At 45.5% G+C, this 21,553-nt stretch overlaps 1 protein-coding gene across 1 annotated transcript in view, besides 1 other annotated feature; it reads left to right on the top strand.

Annotated features, from left to right (window-relative positions):
• Positions 1-9,909: 9,909 nt before the first annotated feature.
• CTXND1 (cortexin domain containing 1) overlaps positions 9,910-21,553 on the top strand; it is a 56,733-nt gene continuing 45,089 nt past the window's right edge. The window contains exon 1 of the mRNA NM_001352888.2: positions 9,910-10,116. The gene's annotated coding sequence lies outside the window, so the exon portion shown is untranslated. The remainder of the gene's footprint in view (positions 10,117-21,553) is intronic.
• Positions 19,564-20,107: an enhancer, noted in NCBI's record as "NANOG hESC enhancer chr15:80534358-80534901 (GRCh37/hg19 assembly coordinates)". NCBI's record gives its function as "activates a minimal SCP1, AML or CMV promoter by ChIP-STARR-seq in naive H9 embryonic stem cells {active_cell/tissue: H9 hESC(naive)}" and the evidence as "EXISTENCE:reporter gene assay evidence [ECO:0000049][PMID:30033119]".

Raw genomic sequence — 21,553 nt, 5'->3', positions numbered from 1 at the left:
AACTACTTGTCCCTATCTTGGCTCTCCAGCTCTCTTCTCCATGCTCCATTCAGCATGATGTGATCCTAGATGCAAACCCAAGATGCAGACCAGCTAAGAGTCCTTCCTCTTTAGAAGGTGACAGAGGGCAGTGCACATGTTTATAAGCTAAACGGGCATTTTTTCAGTCATGTCTTTTCCCTCATACTTTGTGTTTTTCCTTAGGGCACACCCATGTGGAAACAGGGCATAGAAGAGCAGCACATCCCTTTTCAGGTGACTGCAGGTGACTGCAGGTATGAGGGAGAGCATTCCTGAGCTGAGCTGAAACCCGCCTCCCGGTACCTCCTCTTGCTGGATCTAGCCCCCTTCTCTGCACCACAAGCCCTCAGGGACCCAGAGCAGAGAAAACCTTGAGTTTTCTTTTCCAGCCAAATGTCCTAAGCCCTTGGAATGGCAGAACCTAGGGAGGCATTATGTCAGTCCGTTTTTGCATTGCTATAAAGAAATACCTGAAGCTGGATAATTACAAAAAAAGAGGTTTATTTTGGCTCACTGTTCTGCAGACTGTACAGGAAGTATGGTGCTAGCATTTGCTTCTGGTGAGGCCTCAAGTAGCTTTCAATCATGGCAGAAGGCAAAGGGGGAACCTAGTGTGTCAGATGGTGAGAGAGGAATCAAGAGAGAGAAGGGAGGTGCCAGATTCTCTTAAACAACCAGATCTCAAGTGAACTCATTGCGGTGGGGAGGATGCCAAGCTATTCGTGGGGTGCAAAGCTGTTCCTGAAGGAGGCCACCTCCAACACTGGGGATCACATTTCAACATGAGATTTGGAGGCGACACACATCCAAACAATATCAGGCATTAGAGCAGGGGGTATGATGCTACTCAGCCACACAGTAACAACTCCAATATCAGGTGTTCAATTTGACAATGTGCCATGTGAGGCAGTTGGATATGGCAGAAACTGCACCAGGCAAGGACTCCAGAGACTTGGGTGCTAGTTCCAGAATTTGGTGCTGAAGTCTTAAGACTTTGGACCAGCTACTCAACTGGTCTTTGTCCTCAGTTTCCTCATCTGCAAAACAAGCATAAGCCCTAAGCACTGCCTGCCCTGCCCTGCCTATAAAGCAGTGGTTGGAAATGCAGACGATGTATGAGAAAGGGCTTTGCACACCCTGAGGCTGGTCCAGCTGGCAGGAAACATCTTCTTCCCTTGAGTATCTTCATTTAGGATGGGGTCATCCATCAGCCCTCCCCAAAATGCAAAGAGGAGGGACCAATGCTTGCTTCCCTGCCACCTTTCTAGCCTCTTAAGGGCATGAATCAGCCTGCAGGCTGTGGCCCTGAAGTGCAGGGCAAAGGGTGGGAGGAGGAGCTGACCCCACAGTGGCCATGCTGTGTCATCTGCAGAGGCAGGGAGCCCAGAGGAGAAGCATAAACAGCAACTGAGATGTAAACAACAGTCAACAGCTGGGAATTTTCCAAAGCTTTCCCTCAAAAGCTGCCTCCTCGGCCCATCTAGGGATGGAATAGGAAATGTCAAAGCGGGCAGAAAGCTCAGGGCTCCCCATGCCCTGGTCCAGTGGAGAAAAGGAGGCGAGAGAGAGAGAGAGAGAGAGAGAGCAAAGGGCTGCCTCAAAGTCACTTCCAAAGGAACTCTGTCCAGTGTGCCCTTTCCAAGCCGCCTCCTGAAGTAGCCTCTGAGATCTTTTCTGAGGGTCTTAGGTCTCTTTTCCCTGGGTCTATGAGGCTCTCAGGCTGGGATTAGGTTAGGAACTGGCCAACCAGGGCAGGAGCCCAAGGCTGAGCTTTCATGGGGAGACCCTCTCCTAGGAGCCAGCACCCACCACCCAGCATGCCAAGGCAGGGGCCCATCCATCCTTAGGAGACAGCTGTGCCAGGCACCCCATCTGAGCATCCATGCCCCCAACTGGGGCCAACTACCCATGACACAGAATCCAGGAAAACAAAGTCCATGCCCTCATGATTATGCAATCTGGCAGGTAGAAACAGACCACTAATGATTCCACAATTAAGCACCTCACATGGCAGGGGAGGAGAGAGGCTCTAAATGCTATAAACAGATAAAGCAAAGCCAGTGAGACAGAGTGAAAAGGGGAGAGTTATTGTTTTGTACAAAACAATCATGGAAGTTACTTGATAGGGGAGCCCAAGAAGAAGGAAGAAGGCAGTCCTTGCAGATCTCTGGAGAAAGAACAGTGTGAACAGAAGCAGCAGAATGTGTAAAAGCCAGGATCGGAATGAACCAGGTGTGCCAGGAGAATCACTCATTGGCTGTCCTGGCTGAGGAAGCATGAACAAGGGAGCCAGAGGAGGTCAGAGAAGAATGGGAGTGATCTTTTCCAGGGTATATGTCATATTGAAAGACTGAATTTCAACCTGAGTGAAAGTAAAAACTGCTGTTTGTTTGTTTGTTTATTTTCTGTGCAAAGAAGTGATATTTTCTGACTTCGATTTTAAAGGAGTAACTCTGGCTGCTGTTTGGAAGAATGGTGGCTTTCAGAATGTATTTTATAGAGCCAATTTAATTAACTAGTAGTTGTAAATGGGAGTAAGAAAAAGAGCATCAAAACGTAGATTTGAGGCAGAAAGAAATTTGCTGCCCGAACCTCCTTACACGTGGCAAAACTAGTCTGTCTGGATGTCCTCCCCTTGTGAGACTCAAGAGAGGACCCTGGTTGGCCAGAATCATGAGTCTGCCAGCCACAGGCAACAAGTCCCCTTTCTGCAGGGCAGTCAGGAGCCTCAGGTCTGGAAGAAATGTCATAGATCTCCTGGGACAACTTTCTCACCCAGTACCAGAGCTGAAGTCCCTCAGCAGCCCTCCAGAGAGTGGCCATTCACCAAGGCTATGCTGGGAAATGTTTAACAGCTGGTTTGGGGTAGGGGTGGGGGACTCTGATCTGTAGCATTTACCAAATTCTGTAGTGTAAATACTCCCACTATGGCTGATTTCAAGCTACCAATGGCTTAAAAACCACCCGGCAAAATTCCTGATAACTGAACAACTGTGTTCTACAAGCTAGTACAAGCTGGCCATAGGGCATTAATGCCCTCCATCCTCTGGCTACCTATCTCCTCATACAGAAAGCCTACTGCAGTCAGTCATCATCCATCCCAGCCAAGTGCTTGGGAAAATTTTTTACCAACTGGCTTCTTGTGAATTTCACTGTTGAAATAAACCCCTGAGCCTTTGGCAGGAATTCGGCATGAATAAGTTAGAAGGACATGCCTGCTTTGTGACATGGTGGTCACAGATGCAAGTCACCTGCTGCGTAGAAGGTGCCAATACCTATGAATGTATCAGGATCCCACAGATAAAGACTCTGGGCTTTTGATGGTATCTCTGGGTACAAGCTCATGACAAAGGCAACACTTCTGTGCAGGACAGAGCAAGTAGATTGGTCTGGAAGCTACAGTTGGTGCCATTCTAGGGCTTTTTGTCCTTACCACAAAGAAAGTAGGCTTCTACATAAGCTGGCTCGGCAGCTCAAATACCCACAGAAACCAGGTGCAAGTGAGTGAGACTTAACTAATTCTGTTGAAGGCGACCTGTGTTTTGAACTTTGGGAGTGACAAAGGAAGTGCCACAGTTAATAACTCAGACATAAATTGGAGGGATTACATTCGTTTACTCCCAGTGGACACTAAACAGAAACAGGTAGGAAACTTTATCTCTTTTTAAAGGTTAATAATAAGAGCTGAGCTCACCTATGACATTCTTCTAGATGGCTTATATTCAAAGTTGCATTTGATCCCTACAACAATCCTGCAAACATTGCTATCCCTGTTTCATGACTGAGAAGACATTAAATATGGGTTGAGCATCCTAACCTAAAAATCTGAAGTCTGGCCGGGCACAGTGGCTCATGCCTGTAATCCCAGCACTTTGGGAGGCCAAAGCAGGTGGATCACTTGGGATCAGGAGTTCAAGACTGGCCTGGCCAACATGGCAAAACCCCACCTCTACAAAAATACAAAAATTAGCCGGGTGTAGTGGCACATGCCTGCAATTCCAACTACTGGGGAGACTGAGGCAGGAGAATTGCTTGAACCTGGAAGACGGAGGTTGCAGTGAGCCGACATTGTACCGCTGCACTCCAGCCTGGATGGCAGAGCGAGACTCTGTCCCCAAAAAACAAAAAAACAAAAAACATCTGAAATCCAAAATCTGAAACCTTTTGAGCACCAAAATTCCACACTCATGTGATGGGTCTCAGTCAAAACACAGCCAAATCTTTGTTAGATGTATAAAATTGTTTTAAAATTTATATAACATTACCTCAGCTTTTGTGTATAAGGTGTATATGAAACATAAATGAATTTCATGTTTACACTTGAGTTTCATCTCCAAGTTATCTCATTATGTATATGCAAATATTCCAAAATCTGAAAACATCTGAAATCCAAAACACTTCTGGTCTCAAGCATTTTAGATGAGGGGCACTCAATCTGTACCATGACTTGGCCCTGATTATACACATAGTGAGTTGCAGAGCCAGAACTTGAACCCAGACCTGTCTGACTCCAAGTCCAGCTTTCTTTCCAGTGTATCCCAGTTATCCCCAAGGACGATTTAGCCTATTTTGCAGTTTCACAGAATCCGTTAACTGAATGATGACTCTGGTCAAGATTGATGCAATTGTCTTCCCAATGTTCCTGCCACCTTTTTCTACACAGAGCTGTATCAGAACATGGCATCTTTGTCTGTCCCATCCAGTGGTTGTGGTGATCAATGTCAGATTCTGTTAGGACCCCATCCCCTTGGCCACAGTTTACTGGTGTATGAAGCTATATTGTTGGCTGTATTGTTACTCTGGCAGAGCTGTAGACTTCCCTATCCCAGTGGTATTAGACTTGGCCATGTGAATTACTCTGGCAGCAGCTTTAAGAGTTAGCCCATGGTTTCCTGTGTCTTCTCTTTTTATCTGCCATGAGACCAAAATCCTCCAGTTGTAAATTACTTCTTCCCAAGTAAAGTTCCCAACATGGAGCCAAGCCACAGCCAACCCACAATGGACATGAAGCACATGCAAGAGGTAAACTCTGTTGTTGTCAGGTACTGAGATTTAGGAACTGTTTGTTACTACAGCATAACCCAGCCTATCCTGACTGATGCCCAAGGGAATAGATATTCTCCCAAGCTGGGTTAAGGAAGCCCTGGTCTGGAAATTTTAAACCTAAGGACCAAAAAAATTAATTTATTTGGGTGACTGAAGACGTTACATAAAACTCAGGTGACTGCCATATTTTCATGGATTGAGGAGGAGAGGACACCAGTGTAGAATTAAACAGATGAAACTGATGCCCAGACAGAAGCAGAAACAGGGAGTAGACAGAGAATCCTTAGAGGTGATGATGACAGCAGTTCTTTAGAGTAAATTGCATCTTGGTTCTTACTGTGCCTTGGTTGTCTTACTCTCTCTGGATTCTCTAAACCTTCAAGAGAATATGCCTTATTTTTTAAACCAGTGTAAGTTGTATTAAATAATTTCTGTATTTTGCAATTAGAGCCCTAACCTATATATCTAACATTACAGATGAGACACTAGTCATGAAGAATGGGTGGGACCTGCCCATGTTCTCAGCACCCCTTTTGATAGCAGCAAGATTCACTTGACATAGCCCAGTGCACGATCTTCATTCAGCCAGAGGCAGCAGGAGGTGCATGGGGGATACTTGGGGTTTACCTGCTGCTGGGAACTCCCATGATCCTTCAGGCTGAGTCCTAGCCAGGTATCTCAGCTGTCAGAATTTGAAGGGAGAAATAACAAGCTTGCAGAAAACCTAGACTATCAAGACACTAAGGCATGGAATCATAAAATGGGAATTCCCCCCAGGATTTTGTTTTCCTGTTTTTCTAAATATTTAAAAAACATGGCCAGGCACGGTGGCTCACGCCTGTAATCCCAGCACTTTGGGAGGCCGAGGCGGGTGGATCACCAGGTCAGGAGATCGAGACCATCCTGGCTAACATGGTGAAACCCCGTCTCTACTAAAAATACAAAAAATTAACCGGGTGTGGTTGCAGGCACCTGTAGTCCCAGCTACTCGGGAGACTGAGGCAGGAGAATGGCCTGAACCCGAGAGGTGGAGCTTGCAGTGAGCCAAGATTGCGGCACTGCACTCCAGCCTGGGTGACAGAGAGAGTCTCTGTCTCAAAAAACAAAAACAAACAAACAAAAAAAAGTATATTCATAATACCAAAACCTAAGCCATTTAGAAAAGTACAATGAAGAAAGTAAAAACTCTCCTGAAATCCCATCACTCAGAAAGGAAGGCTGTTAATATGCTAGTGATTATTCATCCAGATATTTCTCTCTGTCTATATGTATAACCACATATAAATAGATTCAACATTATGCAAATGGAATCATATAAGTATGTGGTTTTGAAATTTTCTTTTTTCACTTAACAATATGTTATAAATATCTTCTATGTCAGTAAGTACAGAATCATATTGTCATTTTTAACACCTATTTGGTATTCTACCCTATGGATGCATTTATTCTGGCATGCTATCATGGGATTCCATTCAGTACACAACATTGCATAACAGCTGAGAGTGTGGTCTCTGGAGCGACAACACCTTGCTTTAAATCCTAGTCCTCAATTTTCCAGCTATAAGACCTTGAGAAAGTTGCTTGCCTCTCTGTGTGTTTTGTCTTCTGCAGAATGGAGATGCTAATAGTACTTTCTTACAGTGTTTCTGTTTTGTTTTGTTCTGATGATTAAACAAGTTATTACACAGGCAGTGTTTAGAATAATGCCTGCATCGGCCCAGCACTGTGGCTCATGCCAGTAATCCCAGCCCTTTGGGAGGCCAAGCCAGGAGGATCACTTGAGCTTAAGAGTTTGAGACCAGCCCAGGCAACATGGCAAACCATGTCTCTACCAAAAACAAACAAACAAAACAAAACAAAACAAAAATTAGCCAGATGTGCTGGCATGCACCTGTAGTCCCAGCTACTTGGGAAGTTGAGGTGGAAGGATCGCTTGAGTCCAAGAGATCCAAGCCGCAGTAAACTGAGATCACACCACTGTACTCCAGCCTGGATGACAGAGAGAGACCCTGTCTCAAAAACAAAGAATAAAAAAGAATAATGCCTGCATCACACATCACAGTAAGTCTCATTGCATAGTATTATGATTTAATTATATTTCAATAACTAATCCCCTATTGACAGATATTTGGGTTGTTTCCAATATTCTACTATTATAAATTATTTCTGCAAAGCAACAAACATCTGCTATATATATTTTGTCCACTTGTCAGATGATGTCTTTAGATAAGTTCTTGAAAATGAATTTGCTTGTACATAAAGTATTCAATTTGATATTTGTCCTCAAACTGCTTTCTAGAAATATTGTACCAAATTACATTCTCATAAACAGTGAGAGAGAATGCCCATTTTTCCAGACCCTTCAGCAGCACTGAATTTGTTCAATATTTTAAAATTTGCCAGCTAGTAGGTAAAAAGTACAACTTCCTAAATTTTTTATTTGCATTTATTTCACTGCTAGAGAGGACAGTTATTTTCTCTTGTTTGGGACATTTATATTTCTTTTTTTGTGAACTGGCCGCTCATCTCTTTTATTCTTTGTTCTATTGTGGTGATCATCTTTTTAAAAAAAATGATTATAAGCGTTCTTTGTAAGATATCTACATTAAAATGTTGCTGTTATGTTAGGGCTTTCAGATTAAAATGCAGGACATCAAGTTAAATTTGACTTTCAGACAAATGATGAATGGGACATAATCATACTAAAAAATTATTCATAGCCTATCTGAAATTCCAATTCAACCAGGTTTATATCTCTGTTAAACTTAGTAACCCCATCTCATATGGATAGCAAATATTTTTCCAGTTTGTTGTTTATTTTTGAATTCCGTTTACGGTGTCTTTTTCCATGAAGACATTTATTTGCATATTTTATAATCATATATATCAGTCTTTTCCTTTATGCTTTTATGATATATTTAGAAAGGCTTTCAGAATTCTAGGTTTATGATGACTTTTATGTATATATTCATCTAATTATTTTTTGACTTCAGTTTTTTATGTTCAATTTATGACGGATCTGGAATTTGTTTTGGTCTGGGGAACTAGGTAGAAAATGAGATCCCCACACTTTCACTATCTAGTTATTCCAATATCATTTATTTAAACATCTATTTATCTGGGCCAGGCGTGGTGACTCACGCCTGTAATCCCAGCACTTTGGGAGGCAGAGGTGGGTAGATCACCTGAAGTCAGGAGTTCGAGACCAGCCTGGCCAACATGGTGAAACCCTGTACCTAACAAAAATTTCCCAGGTGTGGTGGCGCATGCCTGTAATCCCAACTACTTGGGAGGCTGAGGAAGGAGAATTGCTTGAACACAGGAGGCAGAGGGTTGCAGAGAGCCGAGATCGTGCCATTGCACTCCAGCCTGGGCAACAAGAGCAAAACTCCGTCTCAAACATAAAATAAAATAAAATAAAAACTATCTATCTGATTAACATGAAGTACCACCTTAAACACCACAGTTTCTCATGTACTTCTAATTCTGGGCTCTTCATCCCATTCCATTGAACAGTCATGTCCGGACCAGTAATGTGCTGGTTTTTGCCTTGTGACAGAGGCGGTGTCGTGTGATGGGGTTGAAGCACATAGATGCATAGTTTTTGCAGGCAGAACGCCTGCATCAAACCCCTGATCCCCTACTCCTACTTGTGTGACCTTACACAAAAGTGTAAGTGTGATACTTACACTTTTGGGCTTCCATTTCCTATCTGAAAATGGCAGCAGTATCAGTACCTGCATCATAGCTTGTTGTGATGAATAAAATGCATTAATCCACGTAGAGCACTTCCTTAAATAGTAAGCACTCAAACAATGTATTTTATTTATTCATTTATTCATTTATGCATGCAAGCATTTCTTCATTTTAATATCCAGCAGGGCTAGCTTCCCTTATGCTCTTCCTTATCAACATTTTGTTGCCTGGTCTCTTTATTCTTCCACATGACACTGAGAATCATGTCAAGTTAAAAAGAAAATTCTACTTGGAATTTGATAGAGATGGCATTGAATTGACAGATAAAGAGGACATGATGGGATTACAGTGTTTACTTCTTCTTGCCCAAGAATAAGGCGTGCGTCATAATAGATTCAAGTCTTCTCTAGTCCCCTAGTAGAGAAGGTTGTTTTTTTTTTTTTTTCTTTCACATTTCATGATAAGTTTATTTTTCCTAGCTACTGTGGCTTGGCTATTAGTGAGAATGGGATTTTTTATTTGCCTTTCAAAATGGTTAGTAAGTGCACAAGAACACCGTTAATTTGGTATGTTTATTTTGTAGCCTGCCAATTCCTTGGAAAGGCTATTATTTCAACAATCTTCAGTTTGCACTTTCCAACTACACAATCACATCCGCTGCAAACAGTAATCATTTTTCTCCCGCTTCACATATATATAATATATATACATATATACACACATATAGAATATATATTTTTTTAACAAAGGCACAACTTCAGTATTTTTACACCTTATTTCCTTCTCTTGTCTGATTGCATTGACCAGACGTCCCAAACCGGCCCCCTGCTCTTGCCCCTAACTTTAATGGAAATGTTTGGCTTGCTATGAAGCATACTGCAGGAGAAGGCTTTGAGAGGGTTTTGCTGTCGTTGTTGTTTGGGGGGATTTTTTTTTTTAACTGTAAAGAGAATATCTGAAGAAAATGCATTTGAAGAGCATATTGGAATAGCCCAGATTGGTTTGTGCGCCTGCAAGGAGCTCTTGGGCCCCCTCCCCTCGCTGCCAACGCTCTGCCCCGGGGGCTGAAGTTTCTCTCTGCGTTTCCGCTTGAACAGCGTCCAGCTGCCTCGCCTTTAAAATGCCAGGACGGCCGCGGCTCCGCTCAGAGCCCCCTCTCGGCTGCTGGCCCGGGCTCGCCCGCGCCGCTGGGGGCTCTGACTCCTGCCGAGCCGGGCCTGGGCAGCGCCCCCCGCGCCCCGCGAGCCCGCGCCCCCGTCACCGGGAAACGCCGTAGCCGGCGATCCGCGGTCGCCCTGGGCTCGGCGCCGGCCCAGCCAGGACCCCGGGAGCGCACGGGACGGGCCTCGCCAGGTAAGGACCGCGGGAGCATCCCGGGACCCGCTGCCGCGGCGCCTGCGGGGCTGGAGCACAGCATTGTCGGTGCCGCCGGGGCGTCGCGCGGGTCACCGGCCGCAGGCGGAGGATCTGCTCGCTGAAGTCGGGCCGAGCCCTGCCGCGGCGGCGAGGAGACCCGCGTGGACACTGGGACCGATCCCCTCCTCGGCGGCACTGCGCCCGGGGCGCGCCTCGGTCGGCGGGGAGGGCCGGACCCGCGCGGCAGGGGACAGCAGCCTCGGTGGGAGCCGCACGGGAGCCGCGTCGCAGCGGCCCGAGTTCCACTGCGGGGCTCGGGGCTCAGAAACCGGGAGAGTGTGGTGCTGTGCTCAGGCACCCTCGCTGTTCTGAGCCTCACCTCCCCATTCGGGGATCCTCGGCCTCTCTGCCATTGAGGGGTTTGGGGAGTGTGAGTTGAAACTGAATCAAAGTTAGAAAGTCCTTCTCGTCACGTTCAGTGCCTAAAATTCCCTCTCCTGTGGCTGACAGTCACATAGAACAGATTTTTTCTCAATGTAACTGATGAAGGTCAGCACGGATGTAACTTCTGGGGAAAGTTCTGCTGGTGGCAGCCTTTCTAAAGAAATGTCAAGTCTCCGTTGGATTTTGTTCTCATCTGTGGCAAAAACCCTAATCCACGCTTTCATATATTTTTCCGTATCAGTGGAGGCGTAGACCTATCCTGGGTTCTAATGTTTTGGGGAATGTATTATGGAGCCGAATTTGGTAAGAGTCTCCGTGCCCGCAGCAAAAGTTCTGGAAAAGAACCTGTTAGAAAATCCAAGCTGATGCACCGCCTCACCAGGCGTGCAATAGGGCCACAGTGGCCTGTCAGGATGTGGCTCGGGACCCAGGAAAAAAGCTCCATCGAAGCCTGTGCTGCCTTCGTGGGGAGAAGTTCCATTCTAACCCACTCGTGCATCCGCCGGCAGGTTCTTCTCAGTTCTCCTCTGATTCTAATCAGAGGATTCGAGTTTCTGGATTAACACTGTGATACAATCTTACCCTTTTCCATAAAATATGTATCCAGTGAACTAGGGGATCTAGTTCCGAGGGTCTGGAGTTGAAGTCTTCTATACTTCCCTCACCCTCATTAAGCCACATCTTGAGAGGAATTGTAATAATCTGATCTGTGGTCTTTGCGAACCTGCAAAGTGTGTGTAAGACCTCATAAAGCCAAACATTCAAGGCTTTAAAGGTGATTTATAGATTAGATTTTGATTAAGGCTACCTTTTCAGGGATGGCTCAGCATAAGATATGTACCAGCTTTGAGGAGGCATTACGGAGGAAAAGCAAAACCTTACGTCCTTGGGAAAACTGTTCTGAAACTAATGACTTTACATTTATCCAAAAGAGAAATTGTGGGGAAGCTGTTTATTTATTCTGTGTAATCATTGCATTCATATGTTGTTGTTTCAAAGGATTAATTTCCCAATCAGTTTTCCCAGTAACACTGTTTATGATTTTTGAACGGCATGCAAGTAATGAATGCATAGAGCATAATGTATCTCTAACCCAAATACATGTGGAAAATTATAGCAAATTTCTCGCCATTACATGTTTAAGATGCAGATTTAAAATAAAGTTATGGCAGAATAGGAGTTGTTTAAAAAATAATATGAACTTTAATTGGCCTGAAAAAAAAAAACTAGCTCAACTAGAAGTTCAATTGCTGCTTGCTTATAAATTGTGATTTACAGAATTGCGTGTGTCTTTCCAGTTCCTTTCCTTACAGGGTTAATGAAAGAGGCAGCCATTCTGAATATACTGCCTTGCTAGTTAATCTTTCTCCAACAAATATTTACACTACCTGGCCACACTATTACAGCACAGACTCAAAATCTGCAACCCTAAAATAGTTTGTGTGTAGTATTGCCCAAATTCAATACTATTTTCATGACGTAAATAGAAAATGAAATGGTATCAAGGAAAATGTCCTTTAAGTATCCTGTCTTGCCATAATAGAAAGAACAGTGTTTATAAAACTGACATGGTTCCTAGACTGAGGTTAATGCTCCTAATAAGTTCTGATGTAGAAGAAGACCATAATGACTGTGAATTTTGACATTGAAGGCTCTGGAACCGGTCCGTGTCTGCAAATTTTTTAGATAGCTTAAGTTTGCTATTAAAAGTGACAACATTTAGAACTGTTTGGGATGGAAATATTTCTAAAGCACATTACATGCTTTCTACAATCAGAGAGTCAGCGAATGGGAATTTGTGTGTTTCCTGACAACTCAAGATCAGCACTGTGAATATCAGTTGCCTTGTGGACACCGGGGAGAAGAACACTGGCATTTGTGGGGGACAAATCAGTGTTTAGTCCTGGCTCTGCCACTAAGTCAGATGACCTTAAGCAAGCCACCTTTTTTATCTTCAGTTCTTATTTGTAAAACCCCAGAATCATCAATTACTAAAAGTCAGTTCCATTTATTAAGCCCTTAGTATATACTAAGCATTTTATATATTCCATCATTTAATTATCAGGTTTATTATCCCCATTTTCCTGACAAGGAAATTAATGATCAGAGAAGCAACTTGAATTACTCAAGGTTAAATGAGGTAGGAAAACTGGGATTCTGAGTAGGGTTCTTCCTCTAAAAGATCTGACTCCTAGTGCCCTTGTCCCGTTAGAATCCCACAGACCCCAAAATGGCATTCTATCCCTGTCCTTAGGATGGCGTGATGGAAAAGAGCTGAGTTCCCCTGAGACTGGAGCAGGGTCAGAAAGACAGGGAATTGAGGCTGGGCACAGTGGCTCAGCACTTTCAGAGGCCAAAGCAAGAGAATCGCTTGAAGCCAGGAGTTTGAGACCAGCCTAGGCAACAGAGTGAGAACTTATCTCCACAAAAAAATTTTAAAAATTAGCCAGGCATGGTGGTATGCCTATAGTCCCAGCTACTTGGGAAGCTGAGGCAGGAGGATGACTTGAGCCCAGGAGTTCAAGGCTGCAGTGAACTGTGATTGCACCACTATACTCCAGCCTGGGCAACATAGTGAGACCCTGTCTCTACCAAATTAAAAAAAAAAAATCAAAAAAAGAAAGAAAGAGAACTGTGCTGCCACTCCTGCAACCCAGCCTGGTGGCAGACATGGGTAATTAAAATACAATGTTCTTTCCATAGACATGAATCTCTATGCCCAGGTGGTTACCACGAGTTGACCAGAGGCAGCAGGCATACTGACACCTGTCTGTTATTTAGAGGCTGATATTATTAATAGCTGACAAGTGGCCTGACACTGCATGGCCTTTATGATCACATCCAGTTCCCTCCGGCTACCCTGGCTTCTTGACTCAGACGGAGCTCCCTGTGTTCTAGAAAACTGCAAATTAATGGCATACATTTGTCGCACCTCCCTCTCTTGCCTAGAGCAGACATTGCTAATCAATTATGATATTCTTTCCCATGGAGCCAGAACGAGGCCTCAGAATCCTTTTCTACAACTGCCTGGAGTTGGCTTAGGAAATGGTATCTAGTTAGGTACTGTAGACAATGGGGAGAGATTGAGGAGTTTTAAGCCAGGAGAGTAATGTGATGGCAAAACTCCTGAAATTGTTTCCCTAATGTACCTTTCTTTCTCTCCTTACCCTTTCCGCTGCGTCTCCTATAAGCCGTAGGATCATCTGTAGAAATGACCCCTGTGCAGGCAAACCTGCCCCAAGATTCCCCACATCAGACGCAGGCTATCTTGATGCATTGCTACTAGGCCTGAGGGAACAGGTCTGTTCCCAGGTTGGGCTGCCTGCATCGAATCAGGTATGACTTGTACGACCAGGACATCAAAGACAATGAGACTTTAGAGTTGGTTCATTTGTATGTGAGAGGGCGTAGTCTAGGCTGGCACAGCAATGAGGCCCATGCACGGGAAGAGCCACAAGCCTCAGGTCCCTGGAGGGCATGGGAGGGCATCCTCTCCATTGAGAGTAGGCTGTTCAGCTCCCAAGATGACCCTCCTCTTGGAAGATAAGTCTGGTGCCCTCTACGATAGCTGATGTTTCAGAGGGGTGCACTTTTTCGCTAGGTCAATTGACTTGACAAATTGTCATTATAGATTCAGCTCCCAAGTAGTGACCTGGGTTCCAACAGCATTAACAGTATGGCAGAATTGTGCGGTGATAGTCAAAGCATGTTCCCTTTCCCTGGGCCCAGTTAAAATGTTAATATATTCATTCTCAGTGTCTGCAGAAGAACAGAGAAAAGTTGCTACCTTTAGGAAACTAAACTGTGAAATCCTGCCTCTCCCTGGTGTCCACATTTCCATGTGAACAAGGAAATTATTGTTAATCAATATGCATGCCCAGTGAAATCTAACTCTCCTAAAATTTGTCTTCTTGTTCAGCAGTTTTTCTGGTTTCTGAGGATACTCCTCAGCAAGATAATGGGTTTCTATGTTAGTGTGAGGAGGGTGGATTTGAGTGTTCCAAGGGTCAGATCTCGACCTATGACTAAATTCCTCCCTTACCACTCCCACTCCCCACCCTCCCCAGGAGCACCCAACCCCTGCAATTCAGAAGAGGCATTCTTCATCTGTCATTCCAAGGAGGGGACTTCTGCCTCCAATGGAGACCAGCAACAAAGCCTTTTACTTTAACCCTTTGACTATTCACACAAGACAAAAGGCACCCCTCTTAGGGGTGCAACTATGCACCTCACAAGCATAGTTGATGGGGATGAGGGACAATTTGAGGAAGCTCCTACACGTGGAATGTTGCTAAGGTGGTGGGAGGATGGGGAAGGGAGAGATCTAGTCATCAACACCTTAGCAGTTGGATTCACAAATTATGGAGCCTTGGAGATATTCTCCTAGGGGAGCATGGGGACCTCCTGGTGTCAAATTCACCTGACCTGTCTTCAAATCTTAACTCCACCACTTCCAGCTGCGAGACCACAGACACACCACCCGACTGCTTTGAGCCTCAATTTTCTCATGGGTAAAATGGAAAGCGGAATACTGACCTCCTAAGTTTTAAGACAGGCTGACAGAGGAGACTATATGAAATTAACCAGCACCGTGCTTGTCACACAGCAGGCCTGGGAAAATGTATGTGACATCTGAATCCGACTGCGAGGACAAACCTTTCAGTGTCCCTAAGTGGGCAGCACAGAAATGGCCAAAGAATCAACTGTAAGGCTCATTGTAAAATGCAGATTCAGGGACCCAACCTCAGATCCCTGAACCGCAACTTCCTGGCACAGAGCTGATAACAGACATTTTTAAACAAACTCTATGAGAGATTATTAGGCACGATAAACATTAGAGTCTAAAATCTGAGAATCACTGACCCAGCTTGGGCAAATTAGCAGTTTGCATACTTGCTTGACTCAAACTCCAAATCCCCAAAGTCCACAGTTCATTCTGCCTGGGCAGAAAAATGAATGCCCTCTTTCTCCTTCTAAACATAGAGAGACACACATTAACTCCCACAACGGGTTTCACACAAGGGCACTTCATAATTTCCTGCTGCCTCCAATGTCATGACGCAGTCGGCTGTCAGCACTGCCAGTAGCCAAAGCTTCCCTGTCCAGGCTTATGTGGCTCCGATCTTCATCGTACCAACCCAGGAAAAATCACAAACGGATAAACAGCAAAGCCCAGATCTGAGGCCAGGTGCCTTTTAACCATGACTCTTCCACAACAAAAGTCCATAATTACTCCAATTTCAACCTATACACTAGGAAGTTTCTCTCTATTCTTACTTGATCTCATAGTATTTTTTCCACCTTTATATGAATTGAACTTTGGAATTACAGAAAATTTGCTTCTTTGGAAGACAAAGATTTTAGTAGCTTAACAGCTGAGTCCTTTGAATTCAGAGCAAGAAATGTTTACCATTTATTTTTTAAGTGTACTTTTTGGGAGGAAAATGTTTTTCTCATTATACAAATTACAGATGTGCTAGGTGGAAATTTTGGAATACTGAAAATTATAAAAGAAGAAAATAAAAACTACCTATGATCTCAGACACATAATTACCATGTTAGTATTTCCTCCAGTTTTGTCTCCCTGGTGTTTTTCTGGTGTTGTTGTTGATTTGATTTTCATTACAAAAGTGGAATCTGTGAGAATGACACCTAATAAATTGTGTTCATGAGGCTTGCGGGGTTGGGGGTTGTCCATCAGTAGCATGGGGGCTGGCCAGGAAAGATCGTGGTGAGAGTGGAGTTTGATGAGACTTTGAGCAATGGACAGATTTGGGCAGCAGAGGTAGGCAGGTGGCATTTCACAGGGAGAGGGTGGTGGCAGAAAGGGGTGGGAAGGGTGAGAGCCTCAGAGTGGCTTTAAAATACGTCCACAAGTTCCTTGATAATCAATCCACAAAGAGGTAGAGTCCATGCCCCCTGTCCTTGAAACTGGGTGGGCCTCTGTGGCTGCCTCAATGTATAAAATGAGGTGGAAGTGATGTTGTATGACTTCAAGGCTGGGATAGAAAAGGCCACGTGGCTTCTGCCAGGCAATCTTGGGACATGTGCTCTGGGAGCCTTGGGCCGCCATATCAGGAGCCAGCTGTCCCAACCAGGATCTGAAGGTAACTGCATGATAGAGCTCCATGCAAGAGCTGCCCAGCTGAACCCAGTCACCCTCCAGATTTGTAAGCAAAATAAATGATTGTTAGTGATTTATGAATAAAGAACCAGAACTGTCTCTTCGGGAACAGTGTTTACATCAGTCTCGATGTAAACACAAACTTGCTACTGTCAAGGTGCCTGGTGAGGCTGGTTGGGGCAGAACCTAGAGGTCTTGATGCCTGCAGCGCTGAGAGGTATCACAGGCCCCAAACTGTTCAGCTATGAGCTGTTGCCCATAGAGGGATTGCATGATCACGATAGCCGCTGGTGTTAGTCTTACGATCCCTCTGTGTAATACTGTCCTCAGTGCATTCCACAAAGTCATGCCTCTGATCCTCACACCGACTCTGTGAGGCTGGTACCCTAATCCTCACCCCTATTTTACCCATGAGAAGTCCAAGGCACAAATTGGTGAATGAATTCACCCAAGTCATGTTGCTGATAAATGGGATTTGGGCTGAGATTCAAAACCCAAGGACTAGCTCCAGGCCCAACTCTCAACCCTTACACTCAGTTCCAGCTCACTGGAGGCTGTTGGAATGCAGATGAGATGATGAGATTGTGTACCTGATAGTGCTTTATATGGTTTAAGGTGCCGACGGTGTTAGGGGGCTGAACTTGCCCTTCTCTGTGGGAAAGATCTAGCCCACAGGGTCACAGACCAGCAGCATCAGCATCCTCAGGAAACTTATTAGAAACACAATTTCTAGTCATTTGTGTCTTCTTTGCCTCAACCACAGAGGGCAGTGTCTGGGGCTGATTCACTCTTTCTTGCAGCCAGAACTATACAAAGCCACCCAAGTCCTTGCTGACGGGTTCACCCTGCACCACTCTGGTGTGAGGCCTTCTGCACAGACTCAAAGGAAACTCTGCCTGATCTTCAATCAGAGAGCTCCTTTACTTTTTCCAAACTAGAGATCTCATCACATGTTGCACATCCCCCTGGAAGAATGGAGTCCAGCCAGTGACGCACCTGAGGAGCTCAGCCTCCCATGACCAACCCTGTGTTGGGCTGTGCCTCCTCGTGGTTCAATTTTTCAAGAATAATGTAAGGATCATTATAGCTTCAGCTGACTTTGATACATCCTTTGACAGCATATCCCTCACTGTCCTGAACATGGGCTTTGCACATAAATTTTCAGACCTCATCTGTTCATTTAAATCTCACTTGCTAGGCTCAGAGGAAAGAAGGCATTAGCAGAGTATAAGTAGGATTACTTACGTTCAGCAGAAAACAAGCAGACAGTTTCAAGGACTCTAAAGAGAGAAAGGTAATAACAATGGCTTGGTTGATCTTCCCATTTCCCACCTCCTTGGTGAGCAGGATGGGAAAAGTCAATCTTCCCTCCATGGATGCAGAGATGCAGGAGATGGAGGAGATGGGCAGGATGGCTGAGCCCTGGGCTCCACAGTGGACTTCAGCAGAGCCTGACTGCTTGTTGCCTTCCAGATGGCCCAGAGCATCATACTCCTCCAACATCCCCTGGTCTCCTCCCAGGAGCTGTTAACACAGCTCTTTCCACTTATTCAAAATGCTCTTCCATGTTGACTACACCATCTAAGCTGGTAGCCCCAAAAGAAGGGGTGTCATTGCTCCATTATCATGAGAAGGGTACAGAGACTCAACGACTGAAGGGACTCATCTCACTGTGACTGGTGGACTAAGTCCAATGTGAGACAGCCACATCTGCACACTCTGTCTGCCTCATCTCTCTGGCTCTCAGCTGGGAGGCATCATTTACCCTTGGGGTACAAGGAGAAAGATGGCTTTGCATCTGAATTTTGCAGGAAGAAAGGAGGGAAAATGACGATGGTAAATAATCTGGATTCTCTTAGTGTGTTGCTACCTGCCTAGCCCTAGAAAATAACTCTGACCTCTTGTCCAAGGCATCTGCTATAGCTACTGGGACACCACCCTGTGAAGACTCTACCATTGCAAGGTTCTACCTGCCCCCACCTCTCACCACTCACCCCGTGAGTGGCCGTCATGCCTTCCCTTTTAGGGCTCTTGGGGCCTGACCCAGAGAATATGCTAAGGTGACAACTGGCAAAGGGAGTTCCCTGTGCAGGAAAGTATCTTAATGCCCATTAGAGTAGCCACTGCCTAATGTACAGCTTACACCATACCCCAGGCTTGGTAGGTATAACTTGGGAATGTAACTTTGTGTTCACCAGCCTGGGATGGCTTAACACAGCCCTCAACAACTAGGCCCTGTAGGAGACCCTGAGACTCCCAAAGCTGGGCCTGGCTGGCAGCACTGACTGGCATCTGTTCTGGGTGGCAGGTCAAGGGAACCGGGCAGATGCACTTGGCACGGCTTCCTTCCTGAATGAAGAGGAGGTAGTTCAAAGGAATCAGAGGGTTGGCAGACCGAAGCTGCAGCTCATGTGGTCACAGATCAAGTCTTTCACAAATCCAAGCCTCCTGACCTGCCTGTGCAACAAAGTTTGGAAATTCTAACTCACAGCCTACTTCTTTAAAGCCACACATGCATGAGATGGTAAAATCAGATGCCTCCAGGGGCTGGGCAGATGACATCAATGACCAAAGCTGGCTGGGTCTGAGCCATAGGGAGTGGTGGAGGCTGTGAAAAACCAACTCCATGAGCAGTGTAAAGGGGACTCTGGCAGCTCAGCTCCACCTGCACATTGTAGGGCAGAAAGGCAGCCCCAGTGTAGCCAATCTTCCAAAAGCAGAAATCCTGAATTTTATGTGAAATTCTCCAAGGGCCAACTTTTTCAAGGTAAAACAAAATTAAACATAAAGCCAGTCTGCAGCCCAAACATAGCATAGCTTTGCCCCGATCTACCAGAGGGCCCCGTGTTGTGACCTGGGATTTACAGGCTCCTCCCTCGGCATTGACTAGTGAGGCATTGTTCATGCAAATTTGCAAACTCCAGGGGAGGTGGAACTTGTTTCAAACACAGTCCCCTGTGATACCCCAATCTAGAAAACAGATAATTCAGAGCCATTCTGGTTGAGGAGGCGCCAGACGGGGCCATATCTCTGCCTCCCCTTCCTGCCCAGCATGCCTGAAAGGCTTCCACGTTGTTTAACTTCTTGCCCGGGCTCACAGGAGCCCCCTTGCGGGCCAGGAGAGTTTCTGCAGATTTCAAAGACATCTAACTTGCCATCAAGTCCTGAAAGCACAGAGTGGACACCTGGGGTGCAGGAACTCGTTTTAGGGCCTCTCCTCTCCTTCCTGCCTTTCAACATAGGGGACGGTCACTCAGAGTGACCACGATGCAGGTCAAAGTGCAGCCTCTCTGTCTCTCTTAGGGTGTCTCTCTCAACCTACATAACATAGAATAAAGAGACTCAGTTTCTCTTCTATAAAACAGGAATGTCCTGTCCAGACCAGGTAGCCTCTCTGAGCCTCGGTCTCCTCATCTATAAAACAGGAATGCTCACTGCTCTGCCCACCTCACAAGGATGTTATTGGAGTGAAAAAGTGGGATACGGACATGAAAGTGTTTTGGAAGGTGAAGTCAGGCAGGGGAAAGGGCTTATCATTTTGCATATGTGGGTTTTTCTATGGGTGGGATGGGAAGAATTGGACTTTGGTATTTCTGCTTCTCTTTCTTCAATCTGCACTAGGCAGGTTTCCAGGAAATTGTGCTGTGGGTGGAAGGGAGGGTAGGCCAACGAGCAGCTGTTTCCCCCAAGGGCCAGTGCGCCTGACTTCCGTGGGCACCTGGGGTCTCTACAGTCATGAGGCCCCGTTCCATCATCTCAGCTCTGTGGGGGAGGGTGGAACGCAGAGCTGAGCTTGCTGTCCTCACTGTGCATGGTTACTGAGCACCCACCCTGCCCTGCAGAGCAAAGCAAAGGAGAATGGGGGCCCCTGCCCTCATGGCAGCTGAAGCCCTTACATGTCTGAGCATGTTTCTGATGCCAAGAGGCATCAGAAACCCAAAAGGGGGTCCTCAGTTCAGATCATAGCAGGTGATACTTGAAGGTCGTCCTGAAAGATTTCCTAGGGGCCGTGGGCTCTCGACATAGAAAGGTCTGTTGAACAAAGTCATGAAAAGGGGAAAAGTTCCTATTTCATTTGAGAAGCCCAGCGTTTGGAGAATAATATATGAGAAAAGAAGGAACAGGAGGCAGGAAAGGAAGAGAATCCTTCTCAGACAATGGTGCTGCAGGGCCCCTTTTTCCCTGAGCTCCTGAATCCTGACCCTGGAGAGTGGTCTAGGGAGTCACACATGGGGCTTTTCTGTTTTCTGCCCACAGATGCACACACAGCTCCCACCTCCATCGCTTAGCTCTTGTTGGCCGGTAGTTGCCCCCATCTCTTTGTTTATAACACAGGGATAACAGACTTCATTCACAAGGGAAGGTGAGGGTGCAATGAGCATCAACAAAATGTGTATCACATGCCAGTTTAAGGATTCCGTGAGCAGCAGCATTTCCACACTTTCTCTGCAGTAGAGCTTGTCTCTGTAGAACTTGTCTCCCGAGTGGGTCCCCCTCACAGCCTGGCACAGAGCAGGATGAAAAGGCAAAGGAAGCCAGCTTTGTCCTGGGGATTCTCTAGGTACCAGGATATCCGGATGCTTTGACTGAGATTCATATGGCTGCCTGGTTATAAGGAAATAACATCCCTCATTAACAGCTACTTAAGTCTTTATTCACTGGATTTATCTTCCCTTGAATGTGACATTTGCCACTGATTTTTATGTCTTGTACAAAGTGTCTCCAATAAGCAGATGCATTTTCAAGAGCTCTTATCAATGAATCAATTAAACAAATTAGCTTCCAAAATCCTGTTCCTTTTAACAGATGTCTGGAAAGTTCTTAGGACTTCCAGAAGAGTCTTCGGGAGAGGCTTTCCGCTCTACA

The sequence above is a fragment of the Homo sapiens genome, chromosome 15 (genome assembly GCF_000001405.40).
Source record: "Homo sapiens chromosome 15, GRCh38.p14 Primary Assembly".
In the NCBI taxonomy this organism is placed as follows: domain Eukaryota; kingdom Metazoa; phylum Chordata; class Mammalia; order Primates; family Hominidae; genus Homo; species Homo sapiens.
Note: the sequence above shows the minus strand (reverse complement) of the source record. Positions and strands in the feature narration are given on the sequence as shown.